Source organism: Homo sapiens, chromosome 2, assembly GCF_000001405.40.
Source record: "Homo sapiens chromosome 2, GRCh38.p14 Primary Assembly".
NCBI classification, from domain to species: domain Eukaryota; kingdom Metazoa; phylum Chordata; class Mammalia; order Primates; family Hominidae; genus Homo; species Homo sapiens.
Genome location: NC_000002.12, coordinates 65,282,407 through 65,301,821, shown reverse-complemented (window position 1 = coordinate 65,301,821; position 19,415 = coordinate 65,282,407). Strand labels below are relative to the sequence as shown.

At 46.4% G+C, this 19,415-nt stretch overlaps 1 long non-coding RNA gene across 1 annotated transcript, besides 2 other annotated features; it reads left to right on the top strand.

The window, feature by feature from the left end:
• Positions 883-992: an enhancer, noted in NCBI's record as "active region_15928". NCBI's record gives its function as "activates an Ori minimal core promoter by ATAC-STARR-seq in GM12878 lymphoblastoid cells {active_cell/tissue: GM12878}" and the evidence as "EXISTENCE:reporter gene assay evidence [ECO:0000049][PMID:35858748]".
• Positions 5,850-6,032: a silencer, noted in NCBI's record as "fragment chr2:65522924-65523106 (GRCh37/hg19 assembly coordinates)". NCBI's record gives its function as "represses an EF-1alpha promoter that drives an FKBP-Casp9 reporter gene in an ReSE screen in K562 erythroleukemia cells {active_cell/tissue: K562}" and the evidence as "EXISTENCE:reporter gene assay evidence [ECO:0000049][PMID:32094911]".
• LOC124907781 (uncharacterized) lies at positions 6,039-10,571 on the top strand. The gene is made up of 2 exons (XR_007086472.1): positions 6,039-8,867; positions 8,961-10,571. It is a non-coding gene; the product is annotated as an uncharacterized LOC124907781 (long non-coding RNA).
• The last annotated feature ends 8,844 nt before the right edge of the window (positions 10,572-19,415 follow it).

The window sequence follows — 19,415 nt, the reverse complement described above, 5'->3', positions numbered from 1 at the left end:
CATCTTGGTCAGGGAGCTGATGCCAGGTTTCATGTCTCTGTGAGACTTCCCGGGAATCTGAAGGGGATGCCGCGAGGGGTGTCAGGTGTGCCTGCTCCGCTTCTACACTCATCCTCGGGTCCTTGGAATCAACATTTGGGGCTTGTTGCAAAATCCATCCCACGTTTTTTCCTCTTTTGTCGAGCCTGGGTAATAGCTGCCTCTGTCTCATGCTTGCCATGCTCCATCAGTAACTATGGTTGCCTTTTGAGTGTCTTCCAAAAAAGCCTTTTCCCTGCCAAAGGAGAGAAAATCAATCCTGTCTGCCTATCCCTAAAAGCTGACATTGTCGGCTGTCACAGAACCATCCTGTGAAACGTGCAGCGAAGGAGAAAGGTTGAAACTCAGGCCTCAGGGCTGTGGTCCCTTTCGAGTCTACCCTCTGGGGCCAGGAAGTTGTGGTGTGGCTCCTGCGTGATGTTTTTGAATGAATGCCTTTGCTTCCTCGCTGGCTTGATGCGACTAACAGAAAAGCCACTTTCAGAATGCCTCGCCTCACCCGGGGCCCAGATATTTACATAGTGGCCTTTCATTCTGCGAACAGTGTGTGCCTCTGCAAATATTTTAGGCCTCCCTGCATGCTTGCGGGCCCCTACGTCCCATTCACCAGCTTTTAAGTTTGTTTTGCAGGCAGGGAGCCACTGAGAGGGAGGCCTGACTCAGAGCACAGGGGGCCCTGCTGTCTGCTGCCGCCGCCTCCTGCCACTGCAGACTTGGCGGGGAAGGAAGCAGTGGGTTTTACAGCTGGTGTTTTTGGTTTAGCAAAAAAAAAAAAAAGGAGTGAAAGAGAAAAGAATTTTTTAAAAAAATACCTCGCACATGTAAAATGACACTAAATGTAAGTATATGTGCAGTATTTTGGGATGATAGAAATTGCGTGTTTTGCATGATTCATCCTCCCTCTTGATGACAGCAAAGGAGGTTTGCACTCAGCCTCTGGTATTTTGGGAGTTTGTTCCAAATGCTCTGAAAAGAGAGAGTGAGAAGGCCCAAGCTCCTCATCCCTTCCTCAGAAGGAGGGTTGTGTCTGGGCTAAATTAGGGCAGCGTGGCATTTGCTTCCTCTCCTCTCATCTGACTGGTAAAGATTTTCATTTTTCTACCAAAAACTGGGTCAGCTGCTCCATGGGTGCAGGGGGAGCAGGATGTGGAGCCAGGAGAGGGCCATGCTTTCCCAAGTCTGACTTGAGCCTAGAAATATGTGCTGGCAGAGCTGGCTGGAAGGCCCGGCCCGGTGCTGACTCCCAGCAGGTGCATCGGGCTTCCGGGACGGGGGCGAGCATCACCAAGGCCAGCGTCCAGCGGCCAGGAACACGCGGTCTTTCTAGGATTCAGCCTCTGCAAGTTACCAAAACATTGTGTGCTGCCTTGAGGCTGACACATACCTTGGCAGGGACGATGAGGCTTCTGCCCAGAGCTGGGAGTCCCCGAGGGTCAGGCTGACCTCCAGGCTGCAGCTTGGCCTGGAGGAGGGACCACACGGTGGGTGTGGTGGCCTCTCGGGGCCAATTCAACTTTCTCTTGAAGCACCAGGGCCTAAGAAGCAGGATGATCCAGAAACCAAGTCCACAGTTAGGGAAAATGGGGAGAGGCTCTCAGCTGCTTCCCAGGCCACTGGCTGGCCGGCCCCAGGAACCCCACCTTCCAACCTAACATTTACTGTGAGAGGGGAGGACTTCCTCACTCCTTGGTCACAGGCAGATTGCAAGTTCGCTGTCGAGGTTAGACAGCCCTCTGTTTAAAAGTGGAATATTATACCTCTGAAATTCAAAACTTCACTTTTCCAAAGCTATGTTAGAAATGCTATGGCAAAATACAGCACTGAGTCCAAAAACTAAAACGATTAATTCCTTCTTGCCTTCGGAGGCATTTATTTACTCAGCTTAAACTCTACATTTGTTTTGTGAGGTTTTCTGTGTATGTGTGTTTTATTCTACAGTAAGATGGTTAGGAAAAATAAGTGACCCCTGCAGATGAATTAGCAATTGGGTAGCACCTAAAAGCTAATATTGGTCCCCAAATCTACTGTTAACAACCTCCCCACAGACCTGTGGTCATTCCCCTGCTTAAAGCAGCCCGTATTTGCCAGCCCCACCAGCCTAGGAGCTTGGCAGAGACACATACTGCTCAAGACTATCCAGGAGACCCCTCCCTGCCATTCCAAGTCCCTTGCAGTTAGGCGTGGCCACGTGAATAATTCTGGCCAGTGGGCTGTAAGTGACCGGGGTGAGACACTTGAGGGTCAGTGTGTGATCTGCCTGCATCCTCCATACCCTGTCCCAGCGATGTGCCCCTCCCCCGGGGCAGTTCTAGAGGCCACACATTGAGGTGGCAAGCCACAAGATGAAAGCAGATTGGGTCACTGAGTCACCATAGGGAGGACAGCTGACAGGGGAGTTCCCTGAGTCGGGGGTGAATGAGTAAGTGAAAAATAAATTTGGTAATAGGCCAGTACAATTTCAGGTTTGTTTGTTACCACCATATACTATCCTGACTAATAAAAAAAATAGTGGGAATTTATAAAATAGTGACGAGGCCGGTTACAGTGGCTCACGCCTGTAATCCCAGCACTTTGGGAGGCCAAGGCAGGCAGACCATTTGAGGTTAGGAGTTTGAGACCAGCCTGGCCAACATGGTGAAACCCCATCTCTACTAAAAATACAAAAATTAGCCAGGCATGGTGGCAGACGCCTGTAATCCCAGCTACTCAAGAAGCTGAGGCAGGAGAATCGCTTGAACCCAAGAGGTGGAGGTGGCGGTGAGCTGAGATCATGCCACTGCACTCCAGCTTGGGCGACAGACAAAAACTCCTTCTCAAAAAAAGAAAAAGAAGCTGGGCGCAGTGGCTCACGCCTGTAATCCCAGCACTTTGGGAGGCCAAGGCGGGCGGATCACGAGGTCAGGAGATTGAGACCACGGTGAAACCTCGTCTCTAATAAAAATACAAAAAAAAAAAAAAAAAAATTAGCCAGGCGCGGTGGCGGGCGCCTGTAGTCCCAGCTACTCAGGAGGCTGAGGCAGGAGAATGGCGTGAACCCGGGAAGCGGAGCTTGCAGTGAGCTGAGATTGCGCCGCTGCACTCCAGCCTGGGCGACAGAGTGAGACTCCGTCTTAAAAAAAAAAAAAAAAAAGAAAGAAAAAGAAAAAGAAATCGTGACAAGGACACTAACCACTGCCTGCTACCAGCAGGGGAGGCATCACTCATTGGTACTGTACCCACTCCCCTGGGCCTAGAGAGGGCATCAAGATCTTCTTGAGCCTTAGTAACAACCAGAGACGAGACAAACCTCTGTTGAGCAGGCCTGCTAGAGCCAAGGTCCTCCCCACCTTCTATGTGACCTTGGGCAAGCTACTTCAACTCTCTGGACTTTGATCCATGCCTCCTTTGGTGATCTAGGCATGAAGGTCCCCATCTGCCCAGGCAGCAGTCTTCACAGACAACCTTTACAGTTCCTGGCTGCCCTAAGGGTGCTGTGATGAAATGGCGGCTGGAAAGAGGAAGCCCTGCTATCCATATTCTTGTTTACATTCAGAAATGTCCCTGGGGTGCCCAGGTCTGTATCTGTCAAACCTGGAGGGTCGTTCGTATGGAATATCCCAAAGCCGAGGGCCTGCATGGCCTTCTTGGTGCCACCCTCAATGCCTTTGCGATGCTACAAGTGCAATCTCTGAGCTAGTGACCTGGACAGTGAACCCACCTGTCCTGGGATATCATCTTGCTCTTGTTATTAAAAGCACAGCGTTGCTCACACACGTGTGCAGGGGCATTTCCCTGAAGATGCGCATTGCGGCATTATTGCTGATGGCAAAAATGTAGACATCCTAAATGTCCCTAAGGAGCAGACTGGTTAAGCGCCTCTATATCTATACGACGAACCATTATTCAGCCATATTAAAATCAGGCAGCTGTCTTTGTTAGGTTTTGCTAAAGTCTTCCGAGAAATGTTAAGTGCCAAAAGCAAGGTGCAGACAGTGTGGATAGTGCACACCCATTTTATATATATACACGTAGACACAATCGTGTACACATCTGTGTGTGTATTCTCTGTAGTCGGAAGGTAAACAAGGAAGCAGTAACGGTAGTTGCCTCTGGACTTGGGTCTGGTGGGACAGAGAGTTAATTTTTATTGTAAGCTCTTGTACTTTTCTTTTTAACCGTATATGGATGTAGTCTGTTTTCCTTTAGGTTATTTATTTATTTATTTACTTATTTATTTGAGATGGAGTTTCTTTCTTGTTGCCCAGACTGGAGTGTAATGGCATGGTCTCAGCTCACTTCAAACTCCACCTCCTGGGTTCAAGCGATCCTCCTGCCTCAGCCTCCCAAGTAGCTGGGATTATAGGCACCCGCCACCATGGCCAGCTAATTTTTTTGTATTTTTAGTAGAGACAGGGTTTCACCATGTTGGCCAGGCTGGTCTTGATCTCCTGACCACAGGTGATCCGCCTGCCTCCGCATCCCAAAGTGTTGGGGTTACAGGCATGAGCCACCGCGCCAGGCCACCTTTACGTTTTTTAATCAGGGAAGTAAAGAAGGAAAGCATTGGCTTTGGAATCCCAATCTTAGATTTCAAGCCAAGCTTTGCCACATCAGAACTGTGTGGTTTTGGGCAAGCCTCAGTTTTTGCATATGTGAAATGGGGATAACAATAGCTCCTCCCTCTTGGGTTGTTGTGAAGATGAAAGGAGACAACGTGTAAGCGTTTAGCACAGGACCTGGCACCCAGTAAGCTATTTTTTGATGAGGCCCAAAAAGCTCACTGTCCATTTGACCACAGGACCCAGATATCTGACAGAATCATTAAGACCATTCCTTGAAGTGGGAGTGTTGGTAATGGTTTTAATATTTTATCACCTGGCAGCGTCCTGTGGAAAACACTCATTCGTAGCCTCTTCCTGTGCTTTGCCCAGCCTGCTATTAACAGTCCCCAAAGCCTTCGTAAAAAGTATGCTTCTCCATATGATTTCCCAAAACTCGTAGTCAATAGACAGGATTGATGTATAGCTGGGTGAACATCCTTTTCTCCTTGAGCTTTTACGGAGGATGTGAGGGAAAGGGCTCTTCTTATCAAATGAGGGAGAAAAGACTCTCAAAGCCATTATGTGTCTGACACCAATTCAATTACCCCACCCATGCCCTTTTCAGCTAAGCACTTCCTAAACTTCATTAGTGCTGCAGCAATGCTGCCAGCTGACACCGTACCCTTTACTGAAAAATGTTGTACACAGAAGAGGACAAATCTCCACTGCGGCAGGTCATTGCGGCATTCCTGCTTCCTGACTAAGGTGACCTGGGTCTTCCTCCCAGGCGGAGTGGAGGGTCCAGGTGAGGTTTCAGGGCTCAGTCGGAACCTGCCCCTGCCTGATTCCCATCACCCAGAGTTTCAAGTTATCTTTCTAAAAAAATCTTAAGGCCGGGTACGGTGGCTGACACCTGTAATCCCAGCACTTTGGGAGGCTAAGGAAGGCGAATCACTTGAGGTCAGGGGTTCGAGACCAGCCTGAGCAATATGGTGAAACCCCGTGTCTACCAAAAATACAAAAAAAATTAGCCAGGCATGGTAGCACATGTCTGTAGTCCCAGCTACTTGAGAGGCTGAGGCAGGAGGACCACTTGAGCCTGGGAAATGGAGGTTGCAGTAAGCCGAGATGACAGAGTGAGATTCCATCTCAAAAAATAAAAAATAGGACCGGGCGCAGTGGCTCACGCCTGTAATCCCAGCATTTTGGGAGGCTGAGGTGGGTGGATCACAAGATCAGGAGATCAAGACCATCCTGGCTAACACGGTGAAACCCCATCAGTACTAAAAATACAAAAACAAAATTAGCTGGGCGTGGTGGCGGGCGCCTGTAGTCCCAGCTACTTGGGAGGCTGAGTCAGGAGAATGGCGTAAACCTGGGAGGCGGAGCTTGCAGTGAGCCGAGATCGCACCACTGCACTCCAGCCTGGGAACAGAGCGAGACTCTGTCTCAAAAAAAAATAAAATAAAAAAATAATAATAATAATAATAAATAAATAAATAAATAATAAAAACACTTAAGACATGGAGTTGTGTATCCTACTTTGGCTTATTTCTCATAGGGAAAACAGCACTATGTTCTATCCCACTGCCCCAGCAGAGCCCAGCCTCCCCAACCATAAACGCTGGTGTACTTGTCTGTTGGACCAAAGATTATAAGAGGCTTGAGGAAAGGTGACGGTGCCTTACTCATGCATGCAGCATCCACCAATGCCCGACTGCCAGTGGGTGGTGAGTAGATACCAGGAGACTGAGTTCTTAGAGCTATGGTCCTGGACCCAAGGGAAGGATCTTGGAAGCCCTGTTGGTTATGGAGGATAGAGCTGCTTGCCTTTGAAAAGACCAATGGACTTGGACCATGAACATAAAGTTGCATTATCCATGATGGACTGGAGACCAGAGACCCTTCCCTTCCCAGGCACCTGTAAGTTGCTGGACTCACGTGTAGCCATGGGTGAAAAGAAGACCTGCCTCTTGAAATATGACTGAGATCAAATTCCTTGCCACCATGGCAGGTGGGAGCTTGGAGTACTGAGTAAGTGTCTGTACAACGATGGATGACCAGTACCAAGGCCTTGCAAGATCTTCAACCATCAAATGAAAATTCAACTTCTTTTCATAAGTTCCAAGGCAGAGGGTAGGCTCTCCCTATTTAGAAAACTGTTTATCCCTATTAGAAAGCAGAAATTCTTCCTTGTACCTCACATTATGCCCCTCCTCAACCCCTCCACTGGCTTCTCATCTCTGAATAAATATCCGAAGTTCTTATCTTGGCCTTCCAGTCCTAGGAGATCTGGCCCCCACTCACTCTCTGACCTCATCTCCTAACACGCTCCCCCTCTTTTATTCCCTTGAGCCACAATGTTCCCCTCGTGTGCCTCCTTGTTCCTGCCTCAGAATGTTTGCCCTTGCTGTTTCTTCTGCCTGAACGCTCAGCCCTGGGATCTCCGCATGGCTTTATCCCTCACTTCCTGCTAGTCTCTGCTCACAAGTCACCTCTTTAGAAAAGCCTTCCCGGATCACTTTATCTAACAGAGTATCCCTCTCTCAGCCTTGCCACCCCACACTTTTTGTTTACCATACTTTATTTCTCTCCAAAGTCCTTAGCTGACATATACATGATATAGTTATTACATTTGTCTGTAGTCTGTTTCCCCCAGATTTTATTTTACTGACTTTGGAATCCCCAATGCCTAGAACAGTATCTGGCACATAGTAAGGATTCAAGAAATATTTGTTGAATTAAATAAGTGAATTTATCCAGCAAATACAACTGCCCCAGGCCACCACACTCCATGGATATTCCCCTGAAGTGAGATTTGATTGGGCATGAGCTGCAGAAACAGGATAGAGTGCTGGAGCTGGAAGAGACCTTGGGATCACTGACTTCTGCCCTTTCACAGGGCTGCCGGGGCACACAGGGTGTAAACCTGCCGTGAGGCCTGGGGCTTTCCTGTGATCTTAAGGAGGCTGCCTTGTTGAGGGAGATGCCCAGCCCAGTGGCTCTGCGGTGTCTTCTCCAACATCACTGGGCGGGAGCACAAGGGAAATTCCTTAGGCAGTGAGAGCTACCCGAGAAAATAAACTTGGGAAACCCAGGTTCTGCGGATCTCTTACTTCTCAGGGCTGCAGGTAAGTTTCTGTGTGTTGCGATTCTCTGAGATGAAATGACTGTACATCTCATTTCTCAAACTTTTTTTTAAGCCTTTTTTCTGGTGAATCCTTTTATGGGATTTGTCTTTCCAGGGACACATTTGGGAAAACGCTGCTTTTTTGCCTTTTTACTGGCTGAAGCACCTTCTGAACAGGCATGGGGAAGCTACAGGGGTCAGTGGCTTTTGTTAGCTAAAGAACCCAGAGATGGGACTTTTCCTTTCCTTAAGGCCAGGGCTTGCCAGCTCCTCCCATCTTTTAGAGGAACCCCAAAGCATACCCTTTTCTACATTCTGCTACCCCCTGGCCCCCCCCAGACCTGAAATGGCTCCCTTCAGTCTCTCTTTTCTTCAGCCCCCCAACACTTGTCTCACCAGGCCCAGCTTTTCCTTCTGGATGTCGCTTGCCGCCCGCCTATCCTCCCACCTGCCTCCTGAGGCCTGGTTTGGAGGTTCTCCTCCTTCCAGGAGCCCAGCGCTGCCTCTAGGAGAGAGAATTATCCTGGAAACTCCCCCTTCTCCCTGCCTGACAGCAGCCCCTGCTGAACTCCACAGCCGCAGCTGGGAGCCATTTAAATAGCTGATGCAGGGTGGGCTGGTGGCTACTGCCTGTAATCCCACACTTTGGGAGGCTGAGGTGGGAGCACTGCTTCAGCCTAGGAGTTCAAAACCAGCCTGGGCACTATAGCAAGGACCCTGTCTCTAAAAAAGAAAAAAAATAGCTGATCTGCATCTGAAAGGAGATAAGCAGTTTCCTGAGCGGTATACTGTGCAGTATCCAGCTTCGTAAACTAAGGGCATACACACTGTAGACATGTCCATGCATATCTGCACAAGGAAAGAAAACGCATGGAGGTGAGGGTGTTGGTGGCTAACTCTGGGTGGTGGGATTTGGGGTGATTTTTTTCTCCTGCGTTGCTTAGCTGTGCTTTTAAATTTTATTTTTTCACGTATGTTTGCAACAACGAAAACTCATGATAAGTGTCAATAAATCGGCAGCTCTCGTTTGGTTCCTCATTAGCTGTGTAACCTCAAACAAAGTACTTAACCTCTCAGGCTCCTCATCTCAAATACATCCCACCTCCCTCCTCCTCTGAGATGCCGCGGGATTCATCTCTCTCCCACAGCCAGATTGCAAGCAGCTAGAGAGCAGGCAGGTGAGTGTCTTCCCCCCTACAGACTCCCGTTTCCCCCGCATGCCCATGTGGTGCCTGGAGCGCTGCAGCATTGTGATTTTTTTATTATTGCAGGTGCTAAATAAATCCTCAGTGACTGAGCCCGGAGCCAAACACATTTATCCTTGTCATCCATCCAATTCTGTGCAGCTGGGATGGAGCCCAAGGCGCTGAGGACAACATAAATCTGCTCTTTGGGCCACACCCATTTCTTCTCCAAGCAGATGTGGTAGCCGGGAGCCAAGTCTTGGGGGCTCAGCGCTGGGCTGAGAAGGGGACGAGCTCCAGGCCCGGTGAGTTGGAAGTCTCGGAGAAAGGCTGACTGGCTTCACCTCGCCTCCGCCGCCCAGGGGCTGTGTGAGCAGGCTTTGGCAGCGATTTCTCCAGCAGGAAGGGATGAAGCCCTGACCAGGTTCAGAGGCAGCGGGTCAGGACCGTGCCTGGGCTCAGTCCCGCCCTGGCTCCTTCGCTTCTCGCCGCTGTGAGCCTGGGCAGTGGCTTCGCTGCTCTGGGCCCCACTTTCCTCAAGCGTTAGCAGGACAGTGGCACTCTATTTTGGAATCTCATGAGAATAAAATGAGATGATGCATGGACAACCTGCACATAGCAAGTGCTAATAATTACCATCTCTTAAGTTGGTTTGAAGGTCCAAAGCCAGTCCCTAATTGAGTAGCCTCCGGTAGCTCAAAGTACATGGCTGGCTTAAGGCCTGGGATCCTTTCCCAGTGCTAACCGAGCTGCCATAAATGTAACTCATGGAAAGCAAGCTCCAGGTCTGACATGGGCGGGGCCCATCCTGCTGAGATACAGTACAGCCTCAAGTGGATTTATTAACCCAAAGAAACTAGCAGCACAACTTGTGTGCTGACACCTGCTAGTCACTTCATACCTCACGATCCCCTTTTCACGGAACAGGACATCCATCTAGGCACAGAGAGGATAAGGTTCTGCCCAAAGCCACACAGCATGATAAATGGCGGAACTTGGGTCTAAATACTGCATCAGAAGACAGTATCTCTGCTCACCCCTATTTTGTTTTGCAACCTCTGGAATTTTCCATTCCATTTGTTTAACGCCACTTATAATGAAGGCCTCCTCATGCATCTTGAGAAGGCATGTGTTCAGTGGTACAGTATACAAACTCACTTCTCCCACATGCTGGCCGCACTAAGTGCCACACCTTGAAATAATTCTGAGACATTCTTCTTAGGATATTTGTGGCATAAGGAGGAAGCCCTTGGTGCCTTCGTGCAGCTGTGTTCCTCTAGGATAGCAATTGTGATAAAGACCCAGGGCCGGCTGGTGACTGAAACGGGAGTGGTTTCTACCAAATCCTGTGAGCAATTTAGACTCTCTTGGGTATTCCCTAAACAGTCATCATCAGACTGGGAGGAGAGAGCAAATATTACCTGAAATGAGGCCGCTTGGTGGAAGACATTGGAGAAACACAGCTGGAAAGATGGACGCTCTGCGGTTCAGAAACACTGGAGTTTCACATTTGACCTCTGGCTTTCATGTGAGATGAAAGGACAGAACACTTTTCCAAAGTTATTTTCTCTTTACATGAGTTCAAGGGCTGTGGTGAAAGTGAGGAATCCAAAGTCTACCCAGACTACTTCCTCTTATTTTGATTTATGCCAGTGGTTTATAACTTTTTATAATAAATATTTTGTAAACTCCCTTTAACATCCCAGATGAAATTCATGGATTACATAACCTCTCTAAACACATTTTTTTTTTTTTTTGAGACGGAGTTTCAATCTTGCTGCCCAGACTGGAGTGCAGTGGGGCGATCTCGGCTCACCGGAACTTCCGCCTCCTGGGTTCAAGCAATTCTATTGCCTCAGCCTCCTGAGTAGCTGGGATTACAGGCATGTGCCACCATGCCCAGCTAATTTTGTATTTTTAGTAGAGATGGTGTTTCTCCATGTTGGTCAGGCTGGTCTCAAACTCCCAACCTCACGTGATCCGCCTGCCTCAGCCTCCCAAAGTGCTAGGATTACAGGGGTGAGCCACTGTGCCGGGCCACACATTTTTAAAATTAGTTGTAATACCCTAACTCTAACACAGGGTTTCTCAACCTCAACACTATTGACATTTTGGGCCACTTTACTCTTGTGAGGGGGCTGTCCTGTGCATTGTGGGATGTTCAGCAGCATCCCAGGCCTCTCCCCACTAGATTCAAGAAGCACCTCACCCCCAGTTCTGGCAACGAAAAGTGAATGTCCCAGGGCAAGGTGGGACAAAATACCCCCAGCTGAGAATCACTTCTTTAACATAAAGGATAGATTTTTAAAAATGTGTAATAAAATAACATGTACTTTAAAATATAAATGCTCAGGTGTGGCTGCACAGCAGGACACACTGAAGCCACCAGATGCCTGCACCTACTGATAATGAATGGGTTTGGATTTAAGGGAAATAAGAAGATCAGAAGCTATTTTCATAAGAAGAACAAAAAAATAAAAGAACATACCGGGCGTGGTGGCTCACGCCTGTAATCCCAGCACTTTGGGAGGCTTGAATCCGGGAGGCAGAGGTTGCAGTGAGCCGAGATCACGCCACTACACTCCAGCCTGGGCGACAGAGTGAGACTCTGTCTCAAAAAAAAAAAAAAAAAAAAAGCAGAGGTATGAATGGACATTAGAATAAAAAATAAAAATTAGTGTTAGGCTAAGTAATAATAGAGAACACTTATCTGTATATAAAAGAAAGAATAAAATAACGTTATTTAAAATAGAGATACAGGTTGAGCATCCCTAGTCTGAAAATCCAAAACCCAAAATGCTCCAAAATCTGAATCTTTTTGAGTGCTGACATGATGCCACCATGGGAAATTCCACACCTGACCTCATGTGATGGGTCACAGTCAAAACACAGTCAAAATGTTGTTTTTCATGGACAAAATTATGTAAAATATTATATAAAATTACCTTCAGCCTATCTATATAAGGTGTATGTGAAACATAAATGCATTTCGTGTTTAGACTTGGGTCGCATTCCCCAAAATATCTTATTATATACATGCTAATATCCCAAAATTCAGAAACTCTGAAACATTTCTCATCCCAGGCATTTCAGAAAAGGGATACTCAATCTGTAATATACTAAAACAAGCTACAGACTCAAAGTCATGAATGATCTGGGGCTTATTTACAAAATACAGCATCACTGTGGTTCCTCGATTTTATGACCTGGGATAAGGGTATGTTTTGGAGAGAGTCTCTAGCACTTAAAATGAACTTGGGGGCTGCATCCTGTGAGAAACAAAGGACAGTGAGGATGGATTTGAAAGAGGCCACATCATAGTCAATAGTAATTCTTTTTTCTTTTCTTTTTTGAGACAGAGTCTCGCTCTGTTGCCCAGGCTAGAGTGCAGTGATGCAATCTCGGCTCACTGCAACCTCTGCCTCCCGGACTCAAGCGTTCAAGTGATTCTCCTGCCTCAGCCTCCCTAGTAGCTGCGACTACAGGCGTCCACCACCACACCCAGGTGATTTTTTGTATTTTTAGTAGAGACAGGGTTTTACCGTGTTGGCCAGGCGGGTCTCGAACTCCTGACCTCAAGTGATCCACCCACCTCGGCCTCCCAAAATGCTGGGATTATAGGCGTGAGCCACCGTGCCCAGCCCACAGTCAATAATAAATTAATTGTACATTTTAAAATAACTTAAAGAGTGTAACTGGATTGTTTGTAACTCAAAGGATGAATGCTTGAAGGGATGGATACCCCATTCTCTATGATGTGCTTATTTCACATTGCACGCCTGTGTCAAAACATCTCAGGCCAGGCGCCGTGGTTCACACCTGCAATCCAAGCACTTTGGGAGAGTCCAAGGTGGGCGCATCACCACAGCTCAGGAGTTTGAGACCAGCCTGGCTAACATGGCAAAGCCCCATTTCCACAAAAAAAACAAACAAACAAAAAAAAAATTAACCGGGCACAGTGGCATGAACCTGTTAATCCCAGCTACTCAGGAGACTGAGGCAGGAGAATTGCTTGAGCCCAGGAGGTGGAGGTTGCAGTGAGCTGAGATCGTGCCACTGCACTCCAGCCACTGCCCTCAGTGACGGAGTGAAACCTTGCCTCAAAAAAAGACAAAAAAAAAAAAAAAAAAAACCTATGACATCCTTGCATTTCATGAGTCTGCTCTTTTATATTTGGCTCAAGATTTGTTTAAATAAATCTCAAATCTGTTTCTTATTTTCAGTTGGTTTCATTGTACAGTAAACTCCCTACTGTACTGAAATTCTTTTCAGTAAAATTTATAATCAGAAATGCTCAATACATAGAGCAAGCAACCAGCACAGTATGAGTAAATTAATCATTTCGGGGCAAGACGTTTCTTCCATTTAAGTTTCTCTCTATAGGCCAGGCGCAGCGGCCCGCGCCTGTAATCCCAGCTCTTTGGGAGGCTGAAGGGGGTGGATCACTTGAGGTCAGGAGTTCGAGACCAGCCTGGCCAACATGGTGAAACCTCGTCTCTACTAAAAATATAAAATTAGCTGGGTGTGGTGGTGCAGGCCTGTATGTAATCCCAGCTACTAGGGAGGCTGAGGCAGGAGAATCGTTTGAACCTGGGAGGCAGAGGTTGAAATGAGCTGGGATCACGCCACTGCACTCCAGCCTGGGCGACAGAATGAGAGTCCATCTCAAAAAAAAAAAGTTTCTCTCTATGGAATGGTCTTCTAAATTACTGGGCTTTTCAAGTAACTCCTTTCAAGTTATTTTCAGGATCATTGTGTTCTAATTATTGATGATTTACATTTGTAGTGAGTTTAGGCTAGGGGAACATCTGAAAGTCATGTGGGGCATGAGAGTTCTTTGTTGTCTGGGACTCTCCGACACATTGCAGGACATCTAGCTTCCTCCCCATCCCCAAATGCCAACGGCAGAGTCAACAAAAAAAGCACACCTGCCAATTTTCAAAACACCCCCTTTGGGCCACCACAGCTCTTGCTAAGTGCTTCAAGCTTACGTGACCACACCCCAGATGTGGAGGCTGCCCCCCAAGACCACATTGCCAAGGCGCTCACTTTGGGTGGACACAGACTCTTTGAGCGGATGCAGACTCGTTCCCTCCCAAGGGATGGCAAATGGGGCACAATATAGGTATTTCTATTATCTCCTCTACTATTATTTCTACTACTTCTAACTTCTATGCAATTTTGATTTGCCATAAATCACTTAATGAAGTCCTCAATGTATGGTATTAGCAAGCAAAATAGGTAAGGTTTGTTGAGTTCCCTGCGTGTCAGACCCTGGGTGTTGGGTCTATTATTTCATTCAAATCTCACAATAACCCTATGAGGTAGATACTATTATTAGCCCCCATTTTATAGATGAGAAGACTGAGGCGAGAAGACAGAGAGGAGAATTTAGGGAAGTTGTCCAAAATGGGCCAAATAGTGAGCGGCAGAATCAGGATTTGAACCCACGCTCCTACTCTACTTGCCATATTGCTTCCCCAGAACTGGCTTCTTTGGATTAAATTTAAGGAAAAGATGTAAATGGTAGCAAAACATATTTTATAAAAATTTTATTTATACCCAAAGTTTATCTGAACTCAGTATACATTCAGCACAGTCCCCATACCACCTGTCCTACAGCCCGGTGTATTTGGAGAGGATGGAGTGGAGGAAGGGTTGTTTGGAATCTTGCCTTTGAGGCCCTGAAAGATACCCCATTATGAAAGAAATACTGAGCTAAATTTACCAAACCCAAAATGGCAAATCGGTTTCATTTCCAGTGTCAGCTTTGACTGATTGGTCATGGCTGCCTAGAGGTGAGATGGATTTTTATGGCAAGTTGGAGGTCAGTGTCTTCATCAATTAGTAATGTCTGCCCTGTCAAGGGAAGAGAGCATGTGGTGGCCCCCATGTTATGAATTTATTGTCCCTGCTTCCCTAGACAGGAGGTTGGAATTTTACACATTAGGAAAGATTTCAAAAATAGAAATAAAAATGAAAAGGAATTTTTGGTGGCAAATTAGTAAATACTAAATTCATCAGAAAACTTAGCTCCTCTGAATATCCTTCTCATGTAGTCATAGAAACTTTAAGGTAGGAAGGACCTTCAAGATTATTTAAACTTTTTCACTTTAGAAGAGTTTTCAAAAATAGGAATAGAAACAAAAAGGAATTTCTGGTGGTGAATTCTAAGTTCATCAGAAAACTCAGTTCCTCAGAATATTCCATTCATGGATTCATAGAAACTTAAATCTAGCAAGGTTATTTAAGATTATTTAGGTCTGTGGTTCTCACATTTGGTTAAGATCAGAATCCTCTGGGGGAATTTTTGAAAAATTCTGATACCTGTGTTCTGATTCAAGTGGTCTGGGGATGGGTCCAGGAATTAGAATGTTTCAAAAAATTTCCCTAATGATTCTAATGCACAGCCCAGATGGAGAACTACAGATCTGGTCAAAACCCCTCATTTTACAGATGAGAAAATGGAGACTTAGAGAAGATTGGTGGTTTTCCCAGGGACACACAGTGAATCGGCAGCAAGGCAGATTCTGCCTCACATCCCTTGCTTTTGGTCAGGGGATGGGGTGAAGCCCTGAGACCTTGATTTTGCAAAGAGCTCTAGGGCACGGGCAGTCTCATAGTCTGTGTCTCCTTGGCTATTTTCCTCACAGCTGACTCTCAAGCTGCACATGAAGACGCCTTTCAAGATGACACTTTTGTTGCTGCCTCCAGCCCCTGCTCCTGCCATTTCCAAAGAGGCCCTCTGTTGCATATCTTGTTTCTCATGCCTCCTGCCATAGGTTACATTGTATGATTCGCTTATCTTTGATGTCCCTTCATGGCACTAGAAACAATAGTAAGAGATCAACAAACCACTGTCCTCAATTTTGGAGTTTAAAGTAACTTTAAAAGTACAAAGTTGGGGTGCAGTGGTGTTACCTGAGTCCCAACAACTTGAGAGGCTGAGGCAGGAGGATTGCCTGAGGCCAGGAATTCAGGGCTGCAGTGAGCTATGATGGCACCTGTGACTAGCCACTGCACTCCAGCCTGGGCAATATAGCAAGATCCCATCTCTATTTTTAAAAAGCACAAAGTTAAAGTAACTTTAAAAAGCAGAGGAGAAGGCCCAGATCGGTGGCTCACACCTGTAATCCCAGCACTTTGGGAGGCCAAGGCAGGTGTATCGCTTGAGGTTAGAGACCAGCCTGGCCAACATGGTGAAATTCCATCTCTACTAAAAATATCAAAATTAGCCAGGCATGGTGACAGGTGCCTGTAACCCCAGCTACTCAGGAGAATCGCTTAAACTGAGGAGGCAGAAGTTGCAGTGAGCCGAGATCACGCCACTGCACTCCAGCCTGGGCAACAGAGTGAGACTCCATCTCAAAAAAAAAAAAAAAAAAAGCAAAGGAGAATGAGAAGCACACTCACATTGTAGAATGTCTCCTGTGAGTCAAGTATCTTACATGTTTACTTATATTTCCAACACTGGGAGGAAATATTATTATTATCCCATTTCACAGAAAAGGAACGGTGGCTCTGAGAAGTTAGAGAATTCGTCCAGGTCGCACAGCTAGAGAATGGCTGAGTGAGGACTGTTTGAGCTGGTTCTCACTACAGTCCTCTGTAGCCTCCATTAATATGGTATGTCCCATTCCCTTAAAAGACAAGAGTATATGGCTGGGCACGGTGGCTCACACCTGTAATCCCATCGCTTTGGGAGGCCAAGGCAGGTGGATTGCCTGAGGTCAGGAGTTTGAGACCAGCCTGGCCAACATGGTGAAACTCCGTCTCTACTAAAAATACAAAAATTAGCTGGGCGTGGTTGTGCACACCTGTAATCTCAGCTATTTAGGAGGCTGAGGCAGGAGAATCGCTTGAACCAGGGAGGCAGAAGTTGCAGGGAGCTGAGATGGTGCCACTACACTCCAGCCTGAGTGACAGGGCGAGACTCCATCTCAAAAAACATACAAACAAACAAACAAAAAAACAAGAGTTTATCACCCCACAGCTTGCTTATGAATTGCAAGGACGAAAATATGGTAACTCGGCAATGAAGAAACGTGACCACACATTGACCAGGTGACTAAAATGAGCATTAACAGATGGACATTGCTCAACATCACCATCCAGTTTTGTGGCCAGAGCTACCTAACCTGAGCCTAATCACAAGAAAACATCAGAGGAACCCAAATTGTGCTATGAAATAGTTGGCATCTCTTCTTCAAACATTTCACTGTCATAAAAGACAAAGAAAGGCTGAGGAACTGTTCCAGAGTGACAAAAACAAAAGGAATATACCTAAATGTATGTGATGCCGGATTTGATTCTGCAAAGGATAGGGAAACTGCTTTGAGGCCCTAATGGGACGATTGACAAAAGTGGAATATGGAGTGTAGAACATAAAAAAATTGCATCCATGTTAAATTTGCCGAATTTGGTAACTGTGGTTATGTAAGTGAATATCCTTGTTCTTAGGAAATATACACTGAGGTATTAAAAGGTAACAGGGCATGATGTCTCAAGCTACTCTCAAATGGTTCAGAAAAAACTAAATATTGTTTCAATTTTTTTTTTTTTTTTGAGACGGAGTCTCGCTCTGTTGCCCAGGCTGGAGTGCAGTGGCGCGATCTCGGCTCACTGCAACCTCTGCCTCGTGGGTTCACGCCATTCTCCTGTCTCAGCCTCCTGAGTAGCTGGGCCTACAGGTGCCCGCCACCACACCTGGCTAATTTTTGTATCTTTAGTAGAGATGGGGTTTCACCGTGTTAGCCAGGATGGTCTCGATCTCCTGACCTTGTGATCAACCTGCCTCGACCTCCCAAAGTGCTGGGATTACAGGCGTGAGCCACCGCGCCTGGCTGCTTCAATATTTTTTACAGCAACCCTCAAATAGCTAAGCCCATATCAGGTAATGGATTTAAAATATTTGTTGATTATTTAATTTTTAATTAATTTTTTTTTTTTACTCAGTCTATGTCACTCTGGCTGGAGTGCAGTGTCGTGATCTCGGCTCACTGCAGCCTCCACCTCCCAGGTTCAAGTGATTCTCATGCCTCAGCCTCCCTAGTAGCTGGGATTACAGATGCACACCACACCCAGCTAATTTTTGTATTTTCAGTATAGATGGGGTTTCACCATGTTGTCCAGGCTGGTCTCGAACTCCTGGACTCAAGTGACCCACCTGCTTCGGCCTCCCAAAATGCTGGGATTACAGGTTTGAGCCACGGCGCCCGCCTATTTAATCATTTTTTAATTTTTTTGGGCTTTTCCCTGCAATATACTTTTTTATTTTTCTGGCACCTTGATCTTGGACTTGTTGATTTATTAAATAATTCCACATTCTCCTGAGATCAAGGAAAATACTTTTCAGAGTGGCTTTCTTGGTGTCTAACATTTCTGCTTTATTGCAGCGAAGACACAAATAAAATCCTGATCCTTTACCAGCCCCCTCCTCACCCCACCCTCAGCTCCTCTAAGAAAGGGGAAAACCCTAGTGTGAATTTACTTTACATCATTACCATTTATAAATTCTTTCATCTTTCCTGGAAGTTTATTTGGGATTTCATTAATCTTACCGTATTCATGGGGTGCAAAAGCAAACTCGGCAGGATATAGCTGAGCACACTGTCTGCTCTTTTCACCTTCTGCTCCCATGGAAATCTTAAGTCAGAATCTCATTCCACTGGATGAAGGGACTGAACAAATAGATGGCACCTCTCTTTTGAGAAAGCTGACTTTAATTTGATAAATATTGAGCTCCTGCTACATATGGCACATAGAGCTCTTACCTTGGACATGTGAGAGAAGAAACACACTCTATATTGCTGAACTAAATGTTTTGGAACTATCCAGTGTCTTTCATTGCCAAGCACTGGCTTCCTTAAGACAGAATTGCATCCCAGCCAGATATTGTCAGGATTTACCTATATTAGTCAGGGTCTTAGCTGCAAGCAACAAACCCTACCCTGCCCTGGATGATTTAAGCAGAAATAAACTAGTAAAGAATATGTAGGAGTTCACAGAATCTCCAGGTTGCCGCAGAGTCCAGCTGGAGGACACCCAGTCATGACCAAGGCCCAACCATGCTGTGGGCCTTCAGCAGTGACTCCTACCACCTCCCCTCCTGGACATCGTCTCTGCCACTCACACCCCTGACACTGGGCACTGAATACCAAGTGCCTTGCCCAGCTCTGCTTCAAAACCCCAGGCCTGTGGTGACCCCTGGCTAGGAAACAATTCCTCTGGGTAGCTGCTTCTGGAGTGGGAGTGTCTAACGGGCAGATCTTTGCTACAAGAAAAGCTAGAAGGGTGAGTTGTGGACTTCTGCCTCAGGGAAGCAAGATTTGTAATGTAGAAAAATCCCTAATCATGGGAAGAGAATTCAAACCATGGTTGGTGGCCACAAGTCATGACCAATGTCCACTAATAACCTCCCAGTTTCTAGGTTTTCTTTGCATTCATTAGTCTAATGTATTTGTCAGTTATAGTTTTAGTCTTCTCTCTCCTCCTATCTGCTGTTGTTTGGCATTCTACAGCTTATTCTTATATTAAAAACAT